Source organism: Homo sapiens, chromosome 18 (assembly GCF_000001405.40).
Source record: "Homo sapiens chromosome 18, GRCh38.p14 Primary Assembly".
Lineage (NCBI taxonomy): Eukaryota > Metazoa > Chordata > Mammalia > Primates > Hominidae > Homo > Homo sapiens.
Window position 1 is genome coordinate 494,214 of NC_000018.10, and position 26,609 is coordinate 520,822.

Genomic DNA, 26,609 nt, shown 5'->3' on the forward strand with positions numbered 1-26,609 from the left:
GTCTGTTTTAACACATTTGCAATTTGAAAATTACTTTCATTTCAGAACTGAACATTTGCCTTCATGGTCTAAACTACATCACTGATTAAATGAACATAGATGGCTCATAATTGGCAATTAACTTATTGCTGGGAGGAAGCAGCAGGTTATAATACAATATTACAATTACTAAAACAACTTGAGTTCCTATTACATACTAGCCACCATTCTAAACAACTATTTAATCCTTAAACAACATCAAGTAGATGCCATTGTTGTCCCTCATCACATTGATAAAGAAACTGGGGCCCCAGGGGGTTAAGTGACTTGCCTGAGGTCCCCAGGCTCTCTTGGTTTCAGAGCCCACACTCCTCGCCCAGCACACAGAAATGATTGGATTCAACACCTGGGATCACTAAACATAATTGTATTTTATGAGATGGTTATATTTTAAAGCATATATTATCTACTTTAAAGTAGGACTGTTTTGCCTTTGAATAATAAATTGTTTTATAAACATCAGCTAGTTTCCTAACATTTCTCTGTCATAAGAAAATGACTGGGGCAAAAGAAATGTGGCTTCTTCCACAGAGCCAGAGACAAGTGAGTTTTTCACACCAAATGTAAAACATCCAACGTCACAGGCTAGTGAATAATACCTCACGTGATACTGAGGTATGATATCCCATCATTCAGGAAGCATAAAGGAGTCATGTTTAATATATCCAAGTCCAATAAGTGTATTTCATTTTAAAACCCCCATGCTGAAAAATGCATTTCTTTTCTATTTTTAAGAGTATTGATGGAATATTCATGACAAATTCAGAAGTTAAGAGAGCTCCTAGGATCTCTTTGGAATCTTAATTTGGGATTACTAATTTATGTTTATATTGGCTTTCACTGCTGTATAATTACAAAACACCCTTAAGCAATCAGCAGGACCTTTTTGAGGTATGATGCTGGTTTTGGTTCTTCAAATGTCATGCACTGAAAAAGAAATCAAATCACTGCTTGACTAAGAAGTTACTTCCCTTAAGGTTTGGATGGTTGGTGTGGTTAGAAACTCTGTTGTCAGCAGTAAAGAATGAACCTTCTATGAAAAATGTCTATACTTCCCTGTTCCTGGTTTAAAATACTTAGTAGTATCATTATTTTTACTGATCACTCACCGGTGGTTACAGTCTGTTCATGAAAATGGCACTTCTGACAATATTTCATTTTCTCAATGCAAACCTGTTAGCAAGACGAGTGTAGGGGCCGTTTTCAGAGTTGGTGGCTACAGTGGGCCATCCACATTCATTCAATCAGCGGTAAGCAAAACCTCCCAGAAGATAAGCTACACAGGGAAGCAATCCTGAAATCTGCTTTATCTTTGCAACAGCTCCAGTTTAGAGCGTCTCCTCCACTGGCTGACTGAAGAACACATCAATCCTTCAGACCTTTGATGCTAGGTCATTACAGTTCTAAGTCCGGATGATAGCGCCTTGTCTACGTTGCTCACTCAGTATCTAGTGGAGCGTGACAGCACACAGTAGGACTTCACAAAGATGTAGGACTTGAATGCATTATTAGGGCATAGCTAGGAGGGAGCCTGGGCTAGAGATTACACATGTGATTCTGGAATCAGACAGTCTGAGCCTGAATACTGATCCCCCCCGCCACCAACTAGCTGGGTACCCTTAGACAAGTAACACAACCTCTCTGAACCTAAGTTTTCCTATCATAAAATGGAGGAAATGATAATGCCTGGCATGGCAGGTGCTCAATAAATGTTAGCTATTATTAAAGGGAAGTCTGTGTTAGGCTGGCCTCCCTGAGAGATTACCCACATGCTGGTTTTACCCAGGGTGAAACATATTTTCTATCACAAAATTTAAATGTCCATTTTCCCATTTGAAAGCTAATACTTCAAGGTCCATTTAACTTTATTTGGCAGCGGTTGCAAGAGTTGTTTTGAAATAATATTATAATGAGAATAGGCATTTAGTAGGAAAATGAGATACTCTGTTATGACATAGCCTGAAAGCCATCATCGGCTAGCTTTTTCTATTCACCCCATTATCAGTGGATGAGCCACATGGCAAAGGGTTGGAGCCATTGGAACAACCGTGGGAAATTGCATAGGAGACCACAGAGAAGATGTATACTTAGCAATAATTAAACCTCAGATTAAGAATGTCAAGCATTCCCAAACTAATGAAAAGTCAAAAGTATAATTAGATTGTAAATTTGCCTCCCAGAGAAGGGCAGCCCCTATTACCAATCAGTGAAGGGAAAAAGGCCTCATTTTGTTTCCATTTTCCTTTAGAAAATATGACTCTTTCAATGTTAAATGCAATTGCCTTTATAGGCTTGTTTGCTTATCCCAGTTAAGAACAAGAAATCTCAGAGAGACACTGAAAAAGCAAAAAGACTGTGAGTCCCAAAAAACTTTGGGAGAAGTATACTGCTTACTAGTGCATTTTAAATATATTATTGCCAAACTGTATTTCAGAAATATTTATGCACAAAAGTACAAAAATAAGCAGCTGAACACTGTGTTTTCATGGCACCAGCCTCCTCTCTGTGTTAAATTATAACACTGGTTTGGACCTCTGTGGTCCCGGGTGGTGGCAGCTGTTTTTGGTTGTCTCTTAGGCAACAAGTGCTGCTGCACTGAAACTAACCAATATCCCCAACTTTAAGAACCAAGAATGTGATTTAGTTAACGACACACGTAACTCTAGAGGAGTCAGATTCCTTCGTCAAGAATGTGAATATGTATCCAAAAAGCCATGAGATTGATGGTGTAGTACAGCTAATTGAAAATGAAATTGGAAATAAATTAAAACAAACTTCATGTTTTAATCAGTTTGGAAGACTTCAAGTACTGCAGCAACGGGGAAAGTCATTTTCTTCTGGGTAATATATAATGATGTCATTATTTTGGTACTTGTGACTCCAGGGATGGAGGAAATGGATGTTTGCTGAATGCAACAGATAGGTGGCGCTGTGACTGACTGGCAGATGCAGGATTACACTCCAAGAGCCTGGTCACTACAAAGGCCATATCCAGGTTTAAATATCAGAATTAGAAAGTCACGTTGGTACCCTAAAAAGGCATCTGACTTGCACAGGAATATTTGCTTTTGCAAATGAACTTCTTTAACTTCTATGGTGTCCACTGATTTTCAATTTGGCTAAAGAATGGGGTGTGTGTGTGTGTGTGTGTGTGTGTGTGTGTGTGTGTTTGAGAGAGTCTTGCTTCTGTCACCTGCGCTGAAGTGCAGTGGCACGATCTCGGCTCATTGCAACCTCCACCTCCCGGGTTCAAGCTATTCTCCTGCCTCAGCTTCCCAAGTAGCTGGGACTACAGGCATGCGCCACCAGGCCCAGATAATTTTTGTATTTTTTAGTAGAGACAGGGTTTCATTACATGTTGGCCAGGCTGGTTTCACTATATGGTGATCCGCCTGCCTCAGCCTCCCAAAGTGCTGGGATTACAGGCATGAGCCACTGCACCTGGCCAAGAATGTTTTAGATTAACACGTTTATTCTAAGAATTTACAAGGCTTGTCGTTGCTTTCTATCATGTTGGCTTTCTGAAGCACGGGGAGTTAACAACTATTTGATGTAATCAGGAACCCGGGGAAAATCTTTAGTTGGTTCCCTATGGCAAATGGTCAAAACAATTCCACTTGGTAAAAGCAGCTTTCCGTTTTTGTCTAGGCTTCCAAAGCCTCACATGCAACTGGTTGGCTCCACCTCTTCCTGGATACAGCACCAATTGTGGGTTACTTGGCTAGTTAGTTGTCTCAGATTCACTTTTTTTTCCAGTCATCTTCACCAGAGGTTATCTATTTGGTGTCTTAGGGCCTTCCAAGCCACACGGGGTAACTGACAAGGCTTGTCTTTAGATGCCTACTCTATCCTCCTAGTTGCCAGTTCCTATTTCTTCTAGACTCAGTTTTCATACCTATACTGTTAGGATTGAAATGTCTACTCTCAGGGCTGTTGAGAGGATTAATTGCAATGTGTTTGTAGTGTATATAGTACAGTGGCTGGCACTTAGTAGGTACTAAAAAATTATTACTGCCCCTCCCGTCCCCACCCCACCACTCAGACAAATGTAATAAATACAGATTACGTGGTAATAATTGGTAGGCAAAACTCTCATGGAATATTTTTTTTCTTTTTTTTTTTTTTAGACGGAGTCTCGCTCTTGTCACCCAGGCTGGAGTGCAATGGCTCGATCTCGGCTCACTGCAACCTCCATCTCCTGGGTTCAAGTGATTCTCCTGCCTCAGCCTCTCAAGTAGCTGGGATTACAGGTGCCTGCCACCACGCCCAGCTAATTTTTTGTATTTTTAGTAAAGACAGGATTTCACAATGTTGGCCAGGCTGGTCTCGAACTCCTGACTTCGAGTGATCTTGCCCACCTCGGCCTCCCAAAGTGCTGGGATTACAGGTGTGAGCCACCGCGCCCCGCTGGAATATTTTCGTTTTTAAAAGAGGGCTTCAAAATGATTAGTCTACCCGGGGATTCACCAGTCCGTCCCTCCATCAACCTCCCCGACTGGGGCGGAAAGTGTATGGGGCTTCTGGGCAGCGCTAGACCACAGCGGGTAGGCCACCATCTGGTCCAGAATGCAGCATAAATCTCTCCAAAAATGTGTTTAGGACTTCTGGGTATGTTTTCCAGTGCAAATGTAAAGTGGAAAAGTGTCTCAAGTGCAATAGCGGTCCTTTACCCAGTAAAAAGCATAACAAAAGTTTCAGGGTTTAAGAACCCACGTGGGAGCTGATGGAGTGGGTAGGTGGTTAATCTTCCCAAGTTTTAAAAACCACTGGTCTTAATGACCAGCAGAGAAGATTCACTTCTGGCTAAAATGATAACTGAGCCCCAGATAACTTTTAGCCATGTGAAATTCTTTCCTTTCTAGGGAGTCTCCTCAATCAGAGCCAGCTAAGGAATGTGTGTATTTCCTAGAATGTAAATGAGGGAAGAGAAACTGAGATGGAGACAGAAGGAAAGCAAGCCACTGCATTTTGAAATTCTCTAGGTAGGCAGTTGTATCGTGTCTTTTGTTTCTTTTTCCCTGGGGCAGACCACTTTTCACCTGGCCATCAGTCACCTCCCTTCCCGAGGTCTCCCGACGTGGACACCTAACGCCCTTGGAAAGGGAGTGAATTGGTAGGATATCATCGCTCCGGTTAGTTCCGCGGGAGCTGCCCTTCAGAAAAAAAACTTTCCAGAGCCAAAAGTTACTTTCCAAGCGCCTTGGGGCTTCCCGGGCGCCTCCCTCGGACGGCAACCCTAGAAGTCAAAGCGATTGCATCGCCAGGTCTGTGGCGGCTGGAAGCGGGGTGACCGCGGTCAGATGGCATTTCGCACCCACGCAGGGCTGTGTTATCCTAGCACAGAACCAGCAACTCTCACACGAAGCCTTGTGTAAACACCACGCGGGCCCATTCCTGAACGACTCTTTGATGCCTCCGCTGCGGTTACTTATCTCATACATAAATCAGGATTCCGCTGACAAATCTCCGTGTTTCCACTAAACAGAAGGCTGCCCTGCAGTCCTTCTCGTGCTTCTTTCTAAAGTACGATAACATCTGACACTTCCATAAACCGGCCTGCAGAGGACACCGCGCAGGGGGCGACTAACCAGCTGAGGTGTGTCACCCCAAAACACCAGTGGGCACACCCCAAGGCGGGCACGTGGAAGGGACGCGGAACCGAGGGCAACTATTTTCCAGTCGGTGAATCTGATGGAGAAAGATGCCAAATGCACTTCCCGAGCCAGCTGAACTCCTCGGGCACCTAATCATTGCCAGATGTGGCGAGGGCGCACGGAGAACATCCCCAGTCCCGGAGAAAACACCCGGCCGCCAGCGCGGGGACCGCTCGGGCCGGGAAACGGCTAGAGGCGGGAGGAGAGAGGACTGGGCGAGCGTGGGGAGCGCTGCGGCGTGGAAAAGCGACCGGGAGGGATGGCGATGCCTCCACTCTCCTCGGCAGGTTTTTTCAATTAAAAAGTTGGAAACGGGAATCCGTAAACAACGACTTAGGGCTTCAAACTACTTGCAAAGACGCGATGGGGAGGGGAATACTTGCGCGCTTCAAAACCCCAACCTCGAGGTCTCCAGCCGCGCCTGACCCGGGAGCCGGGTGCGCCCCCAGTGTCCGCGCACGAACCCGGCGCCCTGGCAGCCCCGACTCCCCGGGCCCGCAGCCCAAGGGAAGGTTCGCGCGGGAGGCACCTCCGTGGCCTCCCGCGCGCCCCGAAGCCCGTTCCCCCCGCCCAGAGCCCCGCGGAGCTGCCGCCGCCCTACCTTTCATGGTGACCGTGGGGACGCACCGCCGGCCGGGGAGCTCCGCGCGAGCGCCGCGCAGCCGAGGAAGTCGTCCCGAGCGGCTGCTCACCGCACGCCCATGGTAGCCGCGCCGCGCGCCGGCCGTCTGCGCCCCCGTCCTCCCTCGCCGCCGCCGGCCCGCGCTCCCCGCGCTCCCGGCTCCGCGCTCTGCTGCCTCGGGGCTGCCGCGCGCGCCGCTCTCGCTCTCCCAGCGCCCCTCCCCCTGGCCCGACCCGGCCGAGCGAGCGGCCGCGCCCACGCCCCTCTCGCGCCCTCCCGCGCCCGCCCCGCCCTCGGCCCGCGCCTGCCCTCGCCGGGCACTTTCTCGCCCGCCCTCTCCTGCGCGCCCTGGCCCCACTCGCGCGGGCTCTCTCTTTTTCCCGTTGCACCAGCGTCGGGATGAAGTCGGGAGCAAAGCCCTTCCCGGGGCGGTCCAGCGTTCACCTTCGGCGAGCACCTAAGGTGCCGCTGCTGCTGGGGTCGCTTCTACACCCCAAACTACCTAGCAAGTGTTGGGCGAGAGGATGGGGAGCTGCTGTGCCCCGGGGGTGGCGGGGGGTAAGGTGGGCCCTTCCCCAAACGGCTCTGGGGCATGGAGAGGTACAGAACGTCCTCCGGGTTCAGAGTTTCCAAGTGCGTGCGCTGGTTGACGCCTGAAGGAGACCAAGCAGCAGGGAACACTCTCTCTGTCACCCAGGGAGAGCCCGAGTGGCCAGAATCCGAAGTCACCATTAGACACTCTCTCTGCGCTCTTGGACACCTCCAGAGAAAAAGCCAGCACATCCTGCCTTGGCTGGAAAAGCCAGCCTTCCACCCAGCGCCCCTAAAATGATCGGGTTGACTCCAGTTTTGTTACGAAAGGAGGCCGGGCTGCTGAGAGGCTCCCTGAGTTCCCTTCGTGGTCGCCCGTCACATTGCCCTGCTGTATACTTAATAAAGCCCGTGTTTATCTTTCTCTTTAGAACCCCCTCTAAGCAGACCCATCGCTTTATTGCTTTAAAACATACACTAAGTGGTGAGTGGAGCTGGGGCGAGGGAGGTGCGGAGAAACTTTCTGCCACATGTTGACATTACAGATGGCTACTCAGACGCACTAGTCCACCAAAAGCAATCGAACACTGGCCGGGCAGTGCTTGCAGCTTTTCAGTTTGCCCTCCTGAGGACTTGGTAACACGGTGTAACCAATCCATTGGTTCCCTCTAAGTAGGGGATTCTTTGCTCTAGTAAAAGGTAGTGCCCCAAAATGAATACATATTGAAACATTTCATAGATTCTCCGTTCCAGGAGATTTCTTTTTTCTTTCTTTTTTTTTTTTTTTAATTTTTTAACATAAGGGGGCACCTTGAACATGACGAACAAATGAAAAGACCGAAATGCTTTTTCCCCCGCACTGTCTGCAGTTGATGAAACTACAGGGTCCTGGTCCTGGAGCATGTTTCAGATCTCACTGGGGCACCAGCCTTGTCTTTCAGGGCAAATGGGGATCCCTGAAGGGAGCTTAGGATATGAATTTTCAGCCCGGAGTTTACTAACCAATGGCGTGACCTCGGCTCACTGCAACCTCCACCTCCCGGGTTCAAGCGATTCTCCTGCCTCGGCCTCCCGAGTAGCTGGGATTACATGCGTGTGCCACCAGGCCCAGCTAATTTTTTTGTGTTTTTAGTAGAGACGGGGTTTCACTATGTTGGCCAGGCTGGTCTCGAACTCCTGACCTCGTGATCCGCCCACCTCTGCCTCCCAAAGTGTTGGGGTTACAGGCGTGAGCCACCGCGCCCGGCTTTCTTTTTTTTCTTTCTTTCTTTTTTTTTTTTTTTTTTTTTGAGACGGAATCTCACTCTGTCGCCCAGGCACAATCTTGGCTCACTACAACCTCTGCCTCCTGAATTCAAGCAATTCTCCCACCTCAGCCTCCCAAGTAGCTGGGACTACAGGGGTGGGCCACCAAGCCCAGCTAATTTTTGTATTTTTAGTAGAGACGGGGTTTCACCATGGTGGCCAGGCTGCTCGCAAACCGTACCTCAAGCGATCCGCAGGCATCAGCCTCACAAAGAGCTGGGATTACAGGCGTGAGCCACCACGCCCTGCCGAAAAAAAAAAATCGTTTTTAAAACCCAAATTATGAATATGACACCAAAAGTACAGGCAGCAAAAGAAAAAATATAGATAAATTGTACTTCATCAGACTTTTGTGCCTCAAAGGCCAGTATAAACAGAGTGGAAAGCCAACCCACAGAATAGGAGAAAATATGTGCAAAAGCCCTATATCTGATACAGGATTAATATCCAGGATATATAAAGGATTCCTGCACCTCAGCAACAACAACAAAACAGGCAACCCAATTTGAAAATGAACCAAGGACTGACATGGACATTTCTCCACAGAAGACATATAATGGCCAATAAGTACATGAAGGATATTCAATCACTAATTGTCAGGGAAATTTGAATCAACCGCAATGAGCTACTACTTCATACCCAGTAAGATGGCTATTTAAAAAAAAAAACAAAACAAAATAAGTGTTGGCGAGGATGCGGAGAAATTAGAACTTTTGTGCATTGCTGGTGGGAATGTAAAATGGTACAGCCACTATGGAAAACAGTATGGTGATTTCTCCAAAAATTAAACACACAATTACCATATAGTCCAGGAATTCTATTTCTGGGACCCAAAAGAGGTGAAAGCAGGGTAACAAATAGATGTACATCCAGGCTCATAGCAACATTACTCACAATAGCCAAAAGGTGGAACAACCTAGTGTTCACTGTTGAATGAATGGATAAACAAAATATGGTATAGCCATACAGTGGAATATGATTCAGTCTTTAAAAGGGAGGAAATTCTAACACATGCTACAACACGGATAAAACTTGAGGCATTATGCTTTGTGAAATAAGCCAGTCACAAAAGGACCAATATGATTCTACTTATAAAAGAGAGTAAAATGCCGCCAGACGTGGTGGCTCACGCCTGTAATCCCAGCAGTTTGGGAGGCCAAGGCAGGTCAATCACGAGGTCGGGAGTTTGAGACCAGCCTCGCCAACATACTGAAACCCCTGTCTCTACTAAATATACGAAAATTAGCCAGGCATGGTGGCTGGCACCTGTAGTCCCACCTACTTGGGAGGCTGAGGTGGAAGAATCGCTTGAACCCGGAGGCAGAGGTTGCAGTGAGCCGAGATCGCGCCACTGCACTCCAGCCTGGGCGACAGAGTGAGACTCCATCTCAAAAAAAAAAAAAAAAAAAGAGAGAGAGAGAGAGAGTAAAATGCATAGGGATAGAAAGTAGAATGGTGGTTGCCGGGGGGGGGATGGGGAGTTGTTTCACAGGCACAAAGATTCCATTTGGCAGGATGAAAAGAATTCTGGAGATGGATGGTGGTGATGGTTGCACAACAATGTGAATATACTTAAAGCCACTGAACTATACACTGAAAAATAGCTAAGATGATAAATATATATATTTGACTACAATAAAAAAATTCAAACAGAAGAATGATAAGGTAAAAAACAAACAAGAAACCCCTAAGGCTATGATGTCAGCTGTGATAATGAGCCAGATTCATAGATCTACTGATGAGAAAACAGGCTTAGCAACTTTTCTAAGGATAATTTTAAGGAACAGTCCTGGGACCAGGTGCGGTGGCTCATCCCGGGGCTTTGGGAAGCCAGGGAAGGAAGGTCACTTGAGGCCATGAATTCAAGACCAGCCTGGGCAACATAGTGAGACAAAAAATTTAAAAATCAGCTGGGTGTGGTGGCATGCATCTGTAGTCCCAGCTACTCATCAGGCTGAGGCAGGAGGATTGCTTAGGCCCAAGAGTTTGAGGCTGCAGTGAGCTAGGATCATGCCACTGTACTCCAGCCTGGGCAACAGAGTGAAACCCATCTCTAAAAAAAGAAGGAATCCTGGATGAGTGCCTTCCTCCCCCCACCCTGTCACCTTCAGCACAGAGTGAGTTGGGCCCCACAGGTCCTCAGTGTGGAGCCTCCTCTGAGCCCCACTCTGGAGGATATGAAGACGGAAGGTCATGGTCACATGCAGATCATCAGCTGATCAGGATTTCTCTGGTCAAGAGCTCTGGGAGGAATTGAGAATTGAGCTGGGGATCAGGGAGAAAAGAAGGGAAAAGGAAAGAAGAGAAGAATGTGATTGGAAAGGACTGAGCCATGGAGCTGAAGATGCTTTGAACTCAAAGATGGCCTGCAGGTCCTCCAGGTCACAGGCAAGCTTCCCCACCCCCAGAAGCAGCAGCCAGGCCTTGCATTCAGACTAAAGTTTCAGAATCTGGAGGAAGCATCATCTCATCTTCCCCTCACCCCAGCCCCATGCTAGTATCACCTTTATACTGATGAAAAAGCCCAATCACCCTTGACTCCTCCCTCTCCCTCAACTCTACATCCTCACCAAGCCCTGCTTCTACCTTAGAAATACATCTCAAACTTCTCTGTCTCTCCATCTCCACTGCATCCCCCATGTAGAGGCCATCATAGCCCATCTGAGCTGCTGCACTAACCTTCCAAAGGGCCTCCCCACGCCCACCTTGGCACCTTCTCCACTCCAGGCTCCAACACACAGCAGCCAGAGCAGCCACGAAGGACAGATGAGAGATGGGAAACAAACAAGCTGAACGCTGTAGTTTCTCCAGCTTTCTGCCTTGAGAGAGTTTCCAGCCTGTGATAAAAGGAACTTGGGCAGAGCCTGATGGGCACCTTGGGTAGAAGAGAAGCTGAGAGTCCAGGGAGATCAAGGCAAGGCAGAATACTGGAGGAGAGAGAGCCACAGTCCATTTGTGCTGCCTGCTGGGATCACTGCACTTGATCTCTGACACTCCCTAAGCTTCCTCTCCAGCTGGCCGCCAGAATATTCCAGCAACGTTCATGGTTACCACTACCTCCTTCCCATTCCTGTCTCTTCCCTCCTTATGCAGCATCTTTTGCTCCCTGTCAGCCAGGCTATTTAGTGTCTCCCCACACGTCATGGGCTTATTCCCATCTATGAGGCTTTGTGCCTCGTGTTCTGCCTCTGAAAACATCCTATTTCCTGCACTGTGTCACTACATGTATCCATGTTATCATGTCAGGTTCCAGTCAGCCTAGCTGTGCTTACTTTAACACTGTGGGAGGTTTCACAATGACTCAATAATGGCTAATTAAATGCTTTCAAAGGTTTATTGCAAGGCTTTCATACACCAATAACTATGCAAATACATGTAACACACATAGGTCATAATAAGAAAGAGGAGGAAGAAACCACGTGAATCCTCTACTGGGAGGACCCAGCAGAGCTTCCACTGCCAGACTAAAGGAGGCTTCAGAGTTCTCACAGACAGAGCTTCTTCAAGCTTCTTTGCCATGGTTAGTTTCTTTGCAGTTTTATGGCCCTCCCCAGGAGAGTTCATGGTCATTAGCTCAGCCACCTTTTGGCTTCCCTTTCTTGCTGGGTCTTGGTGGGGTAGTGCCTGGCCACAGCAGGTATTATCTTATCATCACGATCCACCATACGTATGCGTATCACTTTGAGGGGTTGGCAATTTTACTGTGGGTTGAGTTACTTGTCATAAGTGACTCCATTTTGAGACATTTAGGATCACAATACATTATTATATATCACAGGTCCACTTTAAAAATACAACTCTCCATTTAGAGACAGATCCCTTCATTCAACAAGCATGACTTATATAATAAGTATATGTGGGCACTGTGCCACATGCTGCAGAGAATGCAAAGTCGGATCAGACACAGTCTAGATTACCTATCCAGAAGACCAGTAGCTTAGACAGGGCATTCTAGAAAGGACCTACAGTACAAGATAGAAACTGGGGAAGGGGTGTTCAGTGTTCTGAGAAAGACACAGATTAAGTGCTAGAGAAGGAAAGAAAATGGGTGATGACTAAGTCAACATGGAAAGTTCCACTGGGACTGGCCCTGAAGGATGGTTAGAATTCCAATGATCAAAGGAAATGCTTTCTCTCCCTCCAGACCAGTGGGTTTAGAAATGGAGCCTGGGAACCACCTGTATCAGAATGACCCGGGGTTATTTTATAAAGTGCAGATCTGTTTTATATCACTCTTCAGATGATTTTCATGCTCACTAAATTTGGAGAATCATCACAATAGACTAAGAGCTTCTTAAGAGAAGGTCCATGTCTTCTTTATCTTAGTAACAATAGCTTCTAACAATTAACATTCAAAGATCGAATACAGGGAAATGAATTAACAATGGAGGGAAGTGCCTTAAAAATGCAGAGCAAGAGTAGCAAAATGTGGCAAAGCTTAGTGGCTGACATCTGTAATCCCAGGACTTCGGGCCAAGACAGGCAGATCCCTTGAGCTCAAGAGTTTGAGACTAGCCTGAGCAACATGGTGAAACCCCATCTCTACAAAAAATGCAAAAAATTAGCCAGGCGTAGTGGCGTGCACCTGCCTGTAGTCCCAGCTACATGGGAGGCTGAAGAGGGAGGATCAGCTGAGCCCACATGGTCCAAGGCTTCAGTGAGCTGTGATTGCGCCACTGCACTCCAGCCTGGGCAACAGTAGCAAAATGTATGGGACATCCCTTTGGAAATTTTTTTGTGACTGACTGAAAGGTTCTGTCACAATTTTTAACCACCAATGGATGATACACCATTCTCTGAAAGTCAAGCCTTTGAGTATGGCAAGAGAGCAATCTTGTTTTTTGAAAAGGATATTGGCTTCTACAGCTTGGTAATCAGTCACTTGATATTCTCTTCCATACTTGAAAAAGAATAAACCTTGTGTGGCAGAGTAGCCATGGTGCTGTTAGTCGCATCCACTAAAATGTTATATGTATATGTATATGTATATGTATATGTATATATGTGTGTGTGTGTATATATATGTATATGTATATGTGTGTATATGTGTGTGTGTGTGTGTGTATATATATATATATATATATGTATATATCCGGTAAAGAGATTAATGATGTTGAGATGGGTACCAGGTGCAATGTCTACAACCTCTGAGATGTGATTATGCTTGAGAACTGTCTGAAAAATTTTTTGAAATAAAGAAATGGCTTCTAAGTTTTTAAAAGCTTATGGTTCTTTGGCTACTTCATGTATCTATTTCTTTAGTTTTTAAACTAAAGGTTTTTGAAAGAGGGCTGTGATTGAGAGCTACTTTCTCTGTTTGTCCTAGGAGCCAGTATTTTATTCCATTTGCTGTGTCCCAGTTCAGAGGAACAGTCTGAAGTAATTCCTCCAGACTATTCTAAGGCCACTGATGATTCTTAGGACTGGTACTGGAGCCTCTTTTGAAGTTCAGTGGAAAGCCATGAGCCGAGGAAAATGGAATATGGCCCTTGAGTCTCAGTTTGGAGACTTGGACAAGTCCTAATATCTCTGGCCACAATTTCCTCATCATGATGTACAAATACTGGAGTCACGACCAGCAGGTCTGTTCCAACTCCGAAATGTTAGTAATTGTTTTCCTATTAGGCTTCAGCTGTATCACATATGGACATTTCAGGCTATTGACCAATACAAAAAAGGCTCAATAATATGCAGCTATTTTTATCACAATTAATTAATTAATTTCTATTTTTTAAGGTAGAACAGAAAGCCAATTGAACAAAGGTGAGATAATTTTGTCCAATTATTTATTTATCTGAGAAGGAGTTTCGCTCTTGTTACCCAGGCTGGAGGGCAATGGAGCGATCTCGGCTCTCCGAAACCTCCACCTCCCCGGTTCAAGCAATTCTCCTGCCTCAGCCTCCCGAGTAGCTGGGATTACAAGTGTGTCACCAGGCCCGACTAATTTTGTATTTTTAGTAGAGGTGGGGTTTCTCCATGGTGGTCAGGCTGGTCTCGAACTCCTGACCTCAGGTGATCCGCCTGCCTCAGCCTCCCAAAGTGCTGGGATTACAGGCGTGAGCCACTGCGCCCGGCCTCGTCCAATTATTTTATATGAAATAACAATTTGGTGGGGTAGGGAGAGCCTAGCAAAATTAAAGTCCAAATGATGGAATATCTTTAAAGAAACAGTTTTACCAAACCTTTTACAAACAAGGTTTTTAGAGCTTGTTTTTGCTGTTACTATATCTTTTGCCGTGACATAGATGAGAAGGGATTTACTCTGGCTTTGTCTTTCATCGGGTTTTGTCATTCATTTGTTCTGGTGGAGATGAAGCAAGTTGATGTGTATAAAGGCCACAGTCTGGTGATCAGTAGCATCCAACAGTGGGCCCTGTTCCGCTCTTAGCCTCCTGTCCCACGGAGCACAGGCCTCTCATGGCTCTAGGCTTAACTATTATCACCTGTAAAATGAAAGATTTGGGGCTAATTTCCAAGGTCTTTCACAGCTCAAAACCTCTAACATGAAAAACATATAAACGCCATTTGAGTACAGAATAAACACATAGAAAATGTGAAATTTGGAAATTTAGAAATATTTAAGAGAGAGAGAGAGATACTTGGCTGATCACTTTTTAAAATATTGGACTAGCTAATACATCTTTGTTCATATATTCGTGCCAACATTCCCGGTTCCTAGGAAACATTTGGTAAATATTTGTTAAATGAATGAATATTCATATGCAACTGAAACAGACCCAAAAGACAGAGGGGCTATTTTTTATGTCCTTGAATTCTCACCTACCTTTAACAAGAGATTTTTTATTATTATTATTATTATTATTATTTTGGAGATGGAGTTTTGCTCTTGTCACCCAGGCTGGAGTACAATGGCGCGATCTCGGCTCACTGCAACCTCCACCTCCCGGTTCAAGCGATTCTCCTGCCTCAGACTCCCGAGTAGCTGGGATTGCAGGTGTGCACCATCATGCCTGGCTAATTTTTGTATTATTAGTAGAGACAAGGTTTCACCATGTTGGCCAGGCTGGTCTCGATCTCCTGACCTCATGATCCGCCCACCTCAGCCTCCCAAAGTGCTGGGATTACAGGTGTGAGCCACCGTGCCCGGCCAAGAGCCTCTTTTTAATAGTAATAACAGTAGACATTTATTGAGTACTTTCTATGTTTTAGACCCTTCATATGGATTATCTTATTTATCAGATTCAGAAAATATTTGGGACCTCAGGGAAATTACTTCTTTAAGTATCAATTTCCTCATCTGAGAAATAAGCACAATAATATCTATTTTGCAATAACTGGGGTGGGGGATTAGAGATAATGTTTTAAAATGCCTCATACATTGCCTGTAACTTATGAATAGAATAATAATATAAGTAATATGAATAGAATAATAGAAGCTCAATAAATTGCACCTATTTTATCATAACTTATTTTTTCTATTTTTACTTTTTTAAAATTTACATTTTATTTTTGACACAGGGTCTTGCTCTGTCACCCAGGCTGGAGTGCAGTGGTTCTATCACAGCTTGCTGCAGCCTCAATCTCCTGGGTTCAAGGGATCCTCCTGCCTAAGCCTCTAAAGTAGTTAGGACTACAGGGATGTACCAACATGGCTGGCTAATTTAAAATTTCTTTTTTAGTAGAGAAGGAGTCTCACTATGTTGCCCTGGTCTTGAACTCTTGGTCTCAAATCGTCCTCCCTCAGTCTCCCAAAGTGCTGGGCTTACAGACATAAGCCACCTTGACTGGCCCTTTTTGTATTTTGTTTTTTAAAGTAAAACGGGAGAACAACTGAACAAAAGCAAAATAATTTTGTCCAATTTTTTAATATGAAATAACAATTAGGTAGGGAAGAGCCTAGTAAAATTAAACTCTAAATGATGTGATATCTTTAAAGAAACAGTTTTATTTTTAAGAACAAACAAGTACAAGAATAGTAGATCTCCTAAAGAGAACTGATTTATGGGATAGATTAAAATATTTATAATTCACTTGTAAATTGTTACTAAGTATGGTATGCTCAAGATATTTTAACATAATTTGTACTCTAAAGTAATTTAAACATTAACTTTATGAATATTGTTTATTCTATAATTTGATTAATAATAGTGAAAAGGTAAACTTTTGCTAAACTTTTGTCAAAATTGTCACAAATTCCAAATAAGTGTATCAAGATTGGTGAGGTTTCACAGTATGGTTTCATTCCTATGTGGTAGTATCTGTTGATATTATAGTCTTTGAAGACTGGCAGAATTTTACTTTACTCTTTATTTCTTGTAAATAACTAGCAGTTTTCATTAGAGTTTTTGACTCCTATAAATAACTTACACTACATTTTTTATTCAAGGTCAAGATTCAATACTTCTTTCCATTTTAGTTATCTATATCTTTCATTGAGACAATACAATATACTTTGAGTTTAAATTTTTCTTGAATGTGCTTTCTTAGCACATAAGAATATCAATATTCTAAAAGATTAAAAATAAAGAGCACTAGAAGTACAGATGATTTATTAAATATGATCTTTTATTTCGCAGACTTTTTACTAAATTTCAAAGGTGTTCATTGTTGATTGTTCCTATGCTGTAGTGAATTTTCACATCACCTATTAAGTTTATTTGCATTATAAACTTTTTTTTTTTTTGCTCTGTTGCCCGGGCTGGAGTGCAGTGGCGTGATCTCGGCTCACTGCAATCTCCGCCTCCCATGTTCAAGTGATTCTTCTGCCTCAGCCTCCTGAGTAGCTGGGATTACAGGCACGCACCACCAAGCCCGGCAAATTTTTGTGTTTTTAGTAGAGACAGGGTTTCACCATGTTGATCAGGCTGGTCTCGAACTCCTGACCGCGAGATCTGCCCGCCTTGGCCTCCCAAAGTGCTGGGATTACAGGCATGAGCCATCGCGCCTGGCCTGCTTTATAAACTTTAAAAGTTGTTGTTTTGCAATCACATATAATAAAAATACAGTTGGCCTCCATATCCATGGGTTCCACATTCATGGATTCAACCAATCACAGATCAAAAAAATTTTTTAAAAAAAGAAGGTTTTGAATGTACTAAATTTGTACAGACTTTTTTGTTATTGTTCTCGAAACAAGCCAGTATAACAACTATTTACATAGCATTTACATTGTATAAGGAATTATAAGTAATCTAGAGATGATTTAAAGTATATAGTGTGCACCTGTAGTCCAATTACTCATGAGGCTGAGGCAGGAGGATTGCCTGAGCCCAGAAGGCGTAGGTTGCAGTGAGCCAACATTGCACCACTGCACTCCAGCCTGGGTGACAGAGCAAGACCCTGTCTCACATAAAAATAAATAAATATAAATGAAGCATACAGGAGGATACTTCACTAAACAATTTTATATAACAGACTTGAGCATCATGGATTTTGATGATAAGGATCCATGATAAGGTGGTGTCCTGGAACCAATCCACTCTGGATAGTGAAGGATGATGATTATATTTAGTATTCCATATAATGGAAGCTGCAGCCCAGATGGGTCCCACACCTTTTCTAAAGCCATAATAGCCAAGAATAAGGCTCCATTAAGATTGCTATTGTGTCCAGAACAAGTCCATTTCAAATTGAACATGATTTTCTAACAATTGCATTTTTTTTTTTTTTCCCAAGGCAGAAGAATTTTTCTTAGTACAGAACAAAATGAAAAGTCTCCCATGTCTACCTCTATCCACACAGACCCGGCAACCATTCGATTTCTCAATTTTTTCCCCACCCTTCCCGCCTTTCTATTCCACAAAACCGCCATTGTCATCATGGCCCATCCCCAATGAGCCGCTGGGCACACCTCCCAGATGGGGCCGTGGCCGGGCAGAGGGGCTCCTCACTTCCCAGTAGGGGCGGCCGGGCAGAGGCGCCCCTCACCTCCCGGACGGGGCGGCTGGCCGGGCGGAGACGCTCCTCACTTCCCAGACGGGGCGGTTGCCAGGCAGAGGGTTTCCTCACTTCTCAGACGGGTCGGCCGGGCAGAGGCGCCCCTCACCTCCCGGACGGGGCGGCTGGCCGGGCGGAGACGCTCCTCACTTCCCAGACGGGGCGGTTGCCAGGCAGAGGGTTTCCTCACTTCTCAGACGGGTCGGCCGGGCAGAGGCGCTCCTCACTTCCTAGATGGGGTGGCGGCGGGGAAGAGACGCTCCTCACTTTCCAGACTGGGCAGCCAGGCAGAGGGGCTCCTCACATCCCAGACGATGGGCGGCCAGGCAGAGACGCTCCTCACTTCCCAGACGGGGTGGCGGCCGGGCAGAGGCTGCAATCTCGGCACTTTGGGCGGCCAAGGCAGGCGGCTGGGAGATGGAGGCTGTAGCGAGCCGAGATCATGCCACTGCACTCCAGCCTGGGCACCATTGAGCACTGAGTGAACCAGACTCCGTCTGCAATCCCGGCACCTCGGGAGGCCAAGGCTGGCGGATCACTCGCGGTTAGGAGCTGGAGACCAGCCCGGCCAACACAGCGAAACCCCGTCTCCACCAAAAAAATACGAAAACCTGTCAGGCGTGGCGACGCGCGCCTGCAATCGCAGGCACTCGGCAGGCTGAGGCAGGAGAATCAGGCAGGGAGGTTGCAGTGAGCAGAGATGGCAGCAGCACAGTCCAGCTTCCGCTCGGCTTGAGAGGGAGACCGTGGAAGGAGACCGTGGGGGGAGGGGGAGGGAGAGGGAGAGGGAGAGGGAGAGGGAGAGGGAGAGGGAGAGGGAGAGGGAGAGGGAGGGGGAGAGGGAGAGGGAACAATTGCATTTTTATACACTATTCAGCAGAATGAAAATCTTGAGACTGAAAAGAAGGAATGTAAATTTTATAATTAAACTTACGATTTATAAATTGCAGGAATAGAAAAATACGGATAGCCGAAAGATCATTCTTACGTTCTACTTAATATCTCCTATGGAGAAAGTGTGGCTAATGAATTTTTTTTTGTTTTTTTTCTGTTGTTGCTCTTGTTTTGTTTTTTGAGACAGAGTCTCGCTCTGTTGCCCAGGCTGGAGTGCACTGGTGTGATTTCAGCTCACTGCAACTTTTGCCTCCCGGGTTCAAGCGACTCTCTTGCCTCAGCCTCTCGTGTAGCTGGGATTACAGGCTCCCACCACCACACCCGTCTAATTTTTGTATTTTCAGTAGAGACAGGGTTTCACCATGCTGGCCAGGCTGGTCTCGAACTCCTGGGCTCAAGCGATCTGCCCGCCTCTGCCTCCCAAAGTGCTGGGATTATAGGCATGAGCCATCGTGCCCGACCCTGCTAATGCAATCTTTATAAAACTTTAGATTCCTAGATTTTAAGGAGCTGTAAGGAACGTACCCAGAAGTCAGAACCCAGGTTTTAGTCCCAGCACAGATCATAGCTAGCTCTGCAGCCTCCAGAGTCAGCTGGCGTCTAACAGTCCTTCAATAATCCTGGTCTAGGAGTGGTTGCTGGGGAAATGGTCAGCCCAGACTGTGTTCCAGAATTATGGAGGGCCCTGCTCGACCCCCACCCTCAGACTCTCCGCAAATGATCTCAATTCTTCCTCTGCGAAAGCACAAGTTATCTGCCGGGCGCGGTGGCTCACGCCTGTAACCACAGCACTTTGGGAGGCCGAGGTGGGCGGATCACCCGAGGTCAGGAGTTTGAGACCAGCCCGGCCAACATGGCGAAACCCCGTCTCTACTAAAAATACAAAAATCAGCCAGGCGTGGTGACGCGCGCCTGTAACCCCAGCTACTCGGGAGGCTGAGGCGGGAGAATCGCTTGAACTCAGGAGGCGGCGGTTGCAGTGAGTCGAGATCGCGCCACTGCACACTCCAGCCTGGGGGACAGCGAGACTTCGTCTCACAAAAAAAAAAAAAAAAAGGAAGAAGAAGAAAACAGAAGCTGTCTAGCAGGAATCCCTGCAAGTTCCTGCGCTCTGCCTCTACTCCACCCTCTCTGCAAAGATCTCTCTCAGCTCCTGGCCTCACCGGTTCCCCTTATTTTCATAGGAAGAGGCATTTGTCTGCCATTCCGGGCTCCCCGCCAGCTCTCTCCCTGCTCACACGCCATCCCCATCTATCAGTGTCCCCCTCTCTCTCCCTGGAGGTTCTTCTCTTACTTCCCACCCTCTTTCCTGTTCGTCAGCGCCTAGATCCTGCAGTAGTCTGCCCTGCAGTCTGCGCTTTCAGACCTCCGGACCCTCCTCGGACCTCGGCCAGACCTCCAGACCCCTCCTCGGACCTCGGCCAGACCTCCGGACCCCTCCTCGGACCTCGGCCAGACCTCCGGACCCCTCCTCGGACCTCGGCCAGACCTCCGGACCCCTCCTCGGACCTCGGCCAGACCTCCGGACCCCTCCTCGGACCTCGGCCAGACCTCCGGGCCCTCCTCGGACCTCGGCCAGACCTCCGGGCCCTCCTCGGACCTCGGCCAGACCTCCGGACCCCTCCTCGGACCTCGGCCAGACCTCCGGACCCCTCCTCGGACCTCGGCCAGACCTCCGGACCCCTCCTCGGACCTCGGCCAGACCTCCGGGCCCTCCTCGGACCTCGGCCAGACCTCCGGACCCCTCCTCGGACCTCGGCCAGACCTCCGGACCCCTCCTCGGACCTCGGCCAGACCTCCGGACCCCTCCTCGGACCTCGGCCAGACCTCCGGGCCCTCCTCGGACCTCGGCCAGACCTCCGGACCCCTCCTCGGACCTCGGCCAGACCTCCGGACCCCTCCTCGGACCTCGGCCAGACCTCCGGACCCCTCCTCGGACCTCGGCCAGACCTCCGGACCCCTCCTCGGACCTCGGCCAGACCTCCGGGCCCCTCCTCGGACCTCGGCCAGACCTCCGGGCCCCTCCTCGGACCTCGGCCAGACCTCCGGGCCCCTCCTCGGACCTCGGCCAGACCTCCGGGCCCCTCCTCGGACCTCGGCCAGACCTCCGGGCCCTCCTCGGACCTCGGCCACGCGCCCGCTGCCACACGGGGGCGCTGACCCTGCTCCGCCGAAGGTCATTCGCGGCCGCCGAGCCGCCCGGCCCCGCAGGCACGTTGCGCTCTCCTCCCTTGCCGCGTTTAATGTCTCCCAGTTGACCACTCCGCTTCTGCTCTCCCCTCCCTCTGTTAGGGGTCGTCGCGCTTCTCCGATTTCTCCACGAACTTTGTGATTATTCATTTTGGGTTTTCATTCCTGGCTTTTCTTTATCTGCCTCGCTTCAAAATCATGACACTCCTACGTACCCTGCCATCACTTCTGCCTCCCAGACCTGAATGAATAACTGCCCGTTTCCGGTCACCTTTGTTTCCTGTCTGGGCTTTTCCGAGCTCCAGACACAAATATCCAGTTGCTAACTAGATATTTCAAAACCATGCCCCTTCATCCAGTTCTTCAAATTTACTGGCATGAAGTTCACAGTACCCACTTACGATTTTTTTTAAAACCTCATCTGTGTATTTATATTTCTTATTTCTGATATTATTTGACTTCGTCTGCTAGAGGTTTGCCATTTCAAAGACACACCTTCAGCCCTGCTCATCTCTATAGTATTTTTATTTTGTTTTGTTTTTCTATTTTATTTCTGCTCTTATCTTTATTATTTTCTTCCTTATTTATTTGGTTTTACTGTGTTGCTCTAGGGTTTTGCTTTGTTTTAGATGAATGCTGACTCATACGGATGAGTAAATTTGCTTACTTTTTTGTTGATGGAGCAAAGGATTGTGGTAGATATTTGTTTTTGTTCTGGAGTATATGAGATGGAGCAGGAATCCCGTTTTTAGGGGATTGCGGACCTCCAAGCCGGGAAATAAAGGAAAATCTTGAGTTCCTTGAAGGGAAATTCCAGGCACCCAACTAGCCTTGAGAAGTAAACAACTTGATAAGCAAGAAGAATAGTAGCCTGAAACAATAGCCAAGGAAGTTAGAGTCAGGATATGGTTGGTTCCCCTATAGAAACTAAAGATAACATTTTATCTTAACATATGTCCCTGAGCTGTTTACAGAAACCCAGACCCCCACCAAATGGATCTGCTGGCACAGAGACCTCAGATAAGGGGAAACTGAGGACTGAACTCCAATCACCATTCTTTGTTCTAAATTTTTCCTGAGAGGCTTAGAGGGAGTCACACCCATTAGCCAGAGCTAACATTCTTTTCCGCCAACCCTAAATTTTTGCATAAAACGTCTCCTCTCTTTGCATCTATGACCTGTAAGTCCCTACTTCAAGATATCCTGCCCTTTCAAGCCAAAACCAAAGTGTAGCCTCCGTGTACTGATGTACGATTTTGTCTGTAACTGCTGTTTTCCTGAAATTTACCCCTGCCTTTAAAAACCCTGACCTCCAAGCCATCAGGAATGTCAGGATTTGAGGATTAGCTGTTTGGTCCTCCTTGCTTAGAGCCCCTGCAAATAAATGCCTTTCCTTCTACCGCTGCACAGCCTCAGTGTGAATATCTGGTTTTACTGCGCCAGGCAAGCAGACCCCTGTTCGCTTCTATTACATGTCCACCATCTGAATCCCCCTACTATGTTTTGGTAATTTCCCATCACAGGAGTATTGATGAGAGGCAGATGTATCCTCCCACTAGAGAAGCAAAACAGCTAGATATTTGCTGTCTCCACTTATCAAAGTATAGAATTTTAAGTTGCCAGTTATTACCTCGCAACACATTTAGCTTCTGACATGTATTGTTGCTGAAGAAAAGTCCGATATGAATCAGACCTTCCAGTGGGACAAGATGTGGAGATGGAAGACAATATTGATGATCCTGACCCTGTGTAGGTCTAGGCTACACTTTTGACAGCTGGTGTCAAAAGTATTGCGTGACTGTGTGTATGTCTTTGTTTTTAACAAAAAAGCTTAAAAAGTAAACAAAATAAAAATTTAAAAATATAAAAAGGCCTATAGAATAGAGATATAAAAAGAAAATATTTGTGTACAGCTGTACAAGATTTATGTTTTAAGCCAAGTGATTTACAAGAGTCAAAAAGTTAAAAACAATTAAAAAGTTTTATAAAAAGTTATAGTAAACTAAGGTTAACTTATTATTATGAAGAAAGACAAAAATTTTAAATAAATTTAGTGTAGCCTAAGCATACAATATTTATAAAGTCTACAGGAATATGTAGTAATGTCCTAGGCTTTCACATTCACTCACCACTCACTCACTGACTCACCCAGAGCCACTTCCAGTCCTGCAAGCTTTATTCATGTTAAGTAACCTATTCAGGTGTACCATTTAAAAAAAAATCTTTTATATTGTATGAAAGTATAAAAATATATACTTCTATATATTTTTAACTTTTTCTGTCTTTAGATATATTTAGATACAAATACCACTGTGTTAAAATTGCCTACAGTATTCGGTACAGTAACATGCTGTTCAGGTTTGTAACCTGGGAACCATAAGCTATACCATATAGCCTGTGTGTGTAGTAGGCTATACCATCTAGAATTGTGTAAGTACACTCTATGATGACCTCACAATGACAAAATCTCCTAAGGATGTGTCTCTTTTTTTTTTTTTGAGAAGGAGTCTCGCTTTGTCGCCCAGGCTGGAGTGCAGTGGCGCAATCTCGGCTCACTGCAAGCTCCGCCTCCCGGGTTCACGCCATTCTCCTGCCTCAGCCTCCCGAGTAGCTGGGACTACAGGCGCCCGCCACCATGCCCGGCTAATTTTTTTGTATTTTTTAGTGGAGACAGGGTTTCACCGTGTTAGCCAGGATGGTCTCGATCTCCTGACCTCATGATCCACCCACCTCGGCCTCCCAAAGTGCTGGGATTACAGGCGTGAGCCACAGAACCTGGCCCAAGGATGCGTTTCTTAAAGCATACCCCCTTCACTAAGCTCCAAGTGACTGTATATTTTCACACCTTTATTTTGGCCTCATGCTGGGTGGAGTCATTTCCTGCTTCTCGGCTTTGGGCTTGTCCATATTACTTGCTTTGACCATCATGATATTGTGAAATACACATTTGGTCTTCATCCTGTTTCCTAGCATACAGCTGCTAAAATCCCTGGAATCTCTGGAGTGATAAGAGTATCTTTTGTATGCAAATGAGATGACTGGTGGCTGGGGGCCCCTGGGTAGCTTCAGGATAGGGGCTGGTCACCAGAAAGACCAAGACAGGATTACAGGGTTGGGACATTGAGCCCTACTTCCAATCTCTGGGCAGGCGAGAGGGGCTGAAGGTTAAGTTGATCACCAGTGGCCAATGATTTAAGCAATTGTGCCTAGGTGATGACGCCTCCATAAAAACCCAAAAAGCGGGTGGGTTGGGGATGCGTGATGGGGGAGGTTCCAGATAGCTGAACATTTGGAGGTTCCTGCAGGGCAGTGCCCTGGAGAGGGCATGGAAGCTCCGGGCTCCTACTCACGTGCCTTGCCCTGTGAATCTCTTGCATCTGGTTGTTCATCTGTAGCCTTGTCCTATTCTTTACAATAAACTGGTAAGTGTGAGTAAAGTGTTTCCCCGAGTTCTGTAAGCAGCTCTAGCAAATTAATAAAACCTGAGGAAGAGGGCACGGGAACCCTGATTTATAGCTGATAGGTCAGAAGCACTGGCTACGTCTGGGGCTTGCGATTGGCTTCTGAAGTTGGGGGCAGTCCTGCGGGACTGAGTCCCCAACCCGTGGGATCTATTGCTATCTTGGTAGAAAATGTCAGAATTGAATTAAATTAGAGGAAACCTAGCTAGTGTCCGCTGGAGAATCTGCTGAAGAATTGGTTGCTTGGTGTGTGAGGAAAATCCCCCACATATCTGGTGTCAAAAGTGTTGAGTCACTGTGTGAGAGTAGAGAGGAGGAAACAGCTTGGTTTTCTTCTGTCTCACAGGCCTATTTGGAGCGACGTGAAATATGCCTTGCTGTTGGGCTCTCCCTCCTGTTCTCTGATGATCTGTCACGAGGGGGATATGAACAACTGCTGTCCCCAGAGCCTGGGCCCCCGAATGAGAAATGTGAAGCAGACCACGTGGCCTGGTAGCATTTGGTCCCAGAGGGATGAGACAGACACCCATGGGCCAGAATTGAAGCCAACCTGGGGCCTAGGGCCTACAGCCCAGAGGCTGTGCTAAAGCCTGGAGTCCAGCCAAACCCAGCGAAGTGACAGCCTGCCAGCAGCCCCATGTTCCTGAGAGTAAACAGTTATAACAGTTGAAGCTTCTGAATTTTGTTACACAGCGTTGTTGTGGCCATAGCCAACTAATGCCTTATACTTTATTTAGTTTTCTTCATGTTTGGAGATATTTGGTTTGCAGGTTTATTTTGAATGTGAGAGTTTTTGTTTGTTTCCTCTTCTCTGTGCTTATCACTGCCTGTTAGTACATTTCAGAAACCTTCCTGCAGGCCTCCTGGGCCTTGTGTCCAGAGCTAAGTCTTACGTGGATTCTTCATGTCCTATCGCCGGTTATAGAGGGAATAGTCCTCCAGCCAGAGTGTGTGTTGGCCCAAGTACTGGGTGTGAGCTGTGTTTGCATCTTTCTCTCTCTCTAGGTATGAAGCTCACATAGGTGGAGGCCCAGGTGGCAGGTGGTTGAAGCTTGAAGCTTTTCTCAGTTTCCATTGATGCAGGAGTAAGGGTCAGCTTGGCTCGCTTAGTTTCTGCCTTGCCTAGGGTTCTTTTAGTCCTCATCACCCCACAGGACACCAACTCCATGTCCACCTAGTTCCACACCTGGACGCAGCAGGTCACAGCTTCAGTCTTGCTTGTCTTTCTCTTCTGTATGTAGTCCAATGCTCTGTTCACCTTGCTTTTTTTCTTTTGAGACAGAGTCTCACTCTGTCGCCCAGGCTGGAGTGCAGGGGCACAATCTCGGCTCACTGCAAGCTCCGCCTCCCGGGTTCACGCCATTCTCCTGCCTCAGCCTCCTGAGTAGCTGGGACTACAGGCGCCCGCCACCACACCCGGCTAATTGTTTGTATTTTTAGTAGAGACGGGGTTTCACCGTGTTAGCCAGGATGGTCTCGATCTCCTGATCTCGTGATCCACCCACCTTGGCCTCCCAAAGTGCTGGGATTACAGGCGTGAGTCACTTTCCTTCTGAGATGTAAATGTCTTTTCAGTTTTTCTGAGTATATTTTCGCCGTCAGGTTGTGTGTTTCAGGTGGAAAGGGGGAGTGTATTGCATGAACTCATGAACTCACAATGCTATTCCAACCAGAATTCCCCTGGAATTTCTACTTGCAGGTTCACCAAACACTTGAATTTCATATACTCAAAACAAAACTGAAATTCTAATCATGTCTTTCCATAAAACCACTACTTTCTGGATTCTGTATTCTGGTTAATATTCCCATCCTCTTTTCATTTGCTGAAGTCAGAATCCTCATTTATTCTTTTCTCTCACCTTCCATATGTATCTGCATCCCATTTGACCACCAACTCCCCTCCACGCACGTGTTCATCCCATCTGTGAAGTAAGTTCATGCACATCTTATTCTATGAGTCCACAGCCTGAAAGTTCTCAGCTACAGAAAAAGTCCAAAGCCCTTTGTGTGGCATAG

General features: G+C 46.5%; 1 protein-coding gene and 1 long non-coding RNA gene across 3 annotated transcripts in view, besides 2 other annotated features; both read right to left on the reverse strand.

The window, feature by feature from the left end:
- Positions 1–6,488, reverse strand: part of COLEC12 (collectin subfamily member 12) — a 183,965-nt gene extending 177,477 nt beyond the window's left edge. For both annotated transcript variants that reach the window (XM_011525741.3, NM_130386.3), the window contains exon 1: positions 6,295–6,488. In XM_011525741.3, the coding sequence (XP_011524043.1) occupies positions 6,295–6,301 (7 nt within the window). In that variant the 5' untranslated portion in view covers positions 6,302–6,488. The remainder of the gene's footprint in view (positions 1–6,294) is intronic.
- Positions 11,599–11,778: a silencer, noted in NCBI's record as "fragment chr18:505812-505991 (GRCh37/hg19 assembly coordinates)". NCBI's record gives its function as "represses an EF-1alpha promoter that drives an FKBP-Casp9 reporter gene in an ReSE screen in HepG2 liver carcinoma cells {active_cell/tissue: HepG2}" and the evidence as "EXISTENCE:reporter gene assay evidence [ECO:0000049][PMID:32094911]".
- Positions 14,355–21,081, reverse strand: LINC01925 (long intergenic non-protein coding RNA 1925). The gene is made up of 3 exons (NR_136505.1): positions 20,882–21,081; positions 20,483–20,542; positions 14,355–14,594 (listed from the first exon to the last, which is right to left on the reverse strand). It is a non-coding gene; the product is annotated as a long intergenic non-protein coding RNA 1925 (long non-coding RNA).
- Positions 24,624–24,823: an enhancer, noted in NCBI's record as "active region_13020". NCBI's record gives its function as "activates an Ori minimal core promoter by ATAC-STARR-seq in GM12878 lymphoblastoid cells {active_cell/tissue: GM12878}" and the evidence as "EXISTENCE:reporter gene assay evidence [ECO:0000049][PMID:35858748]".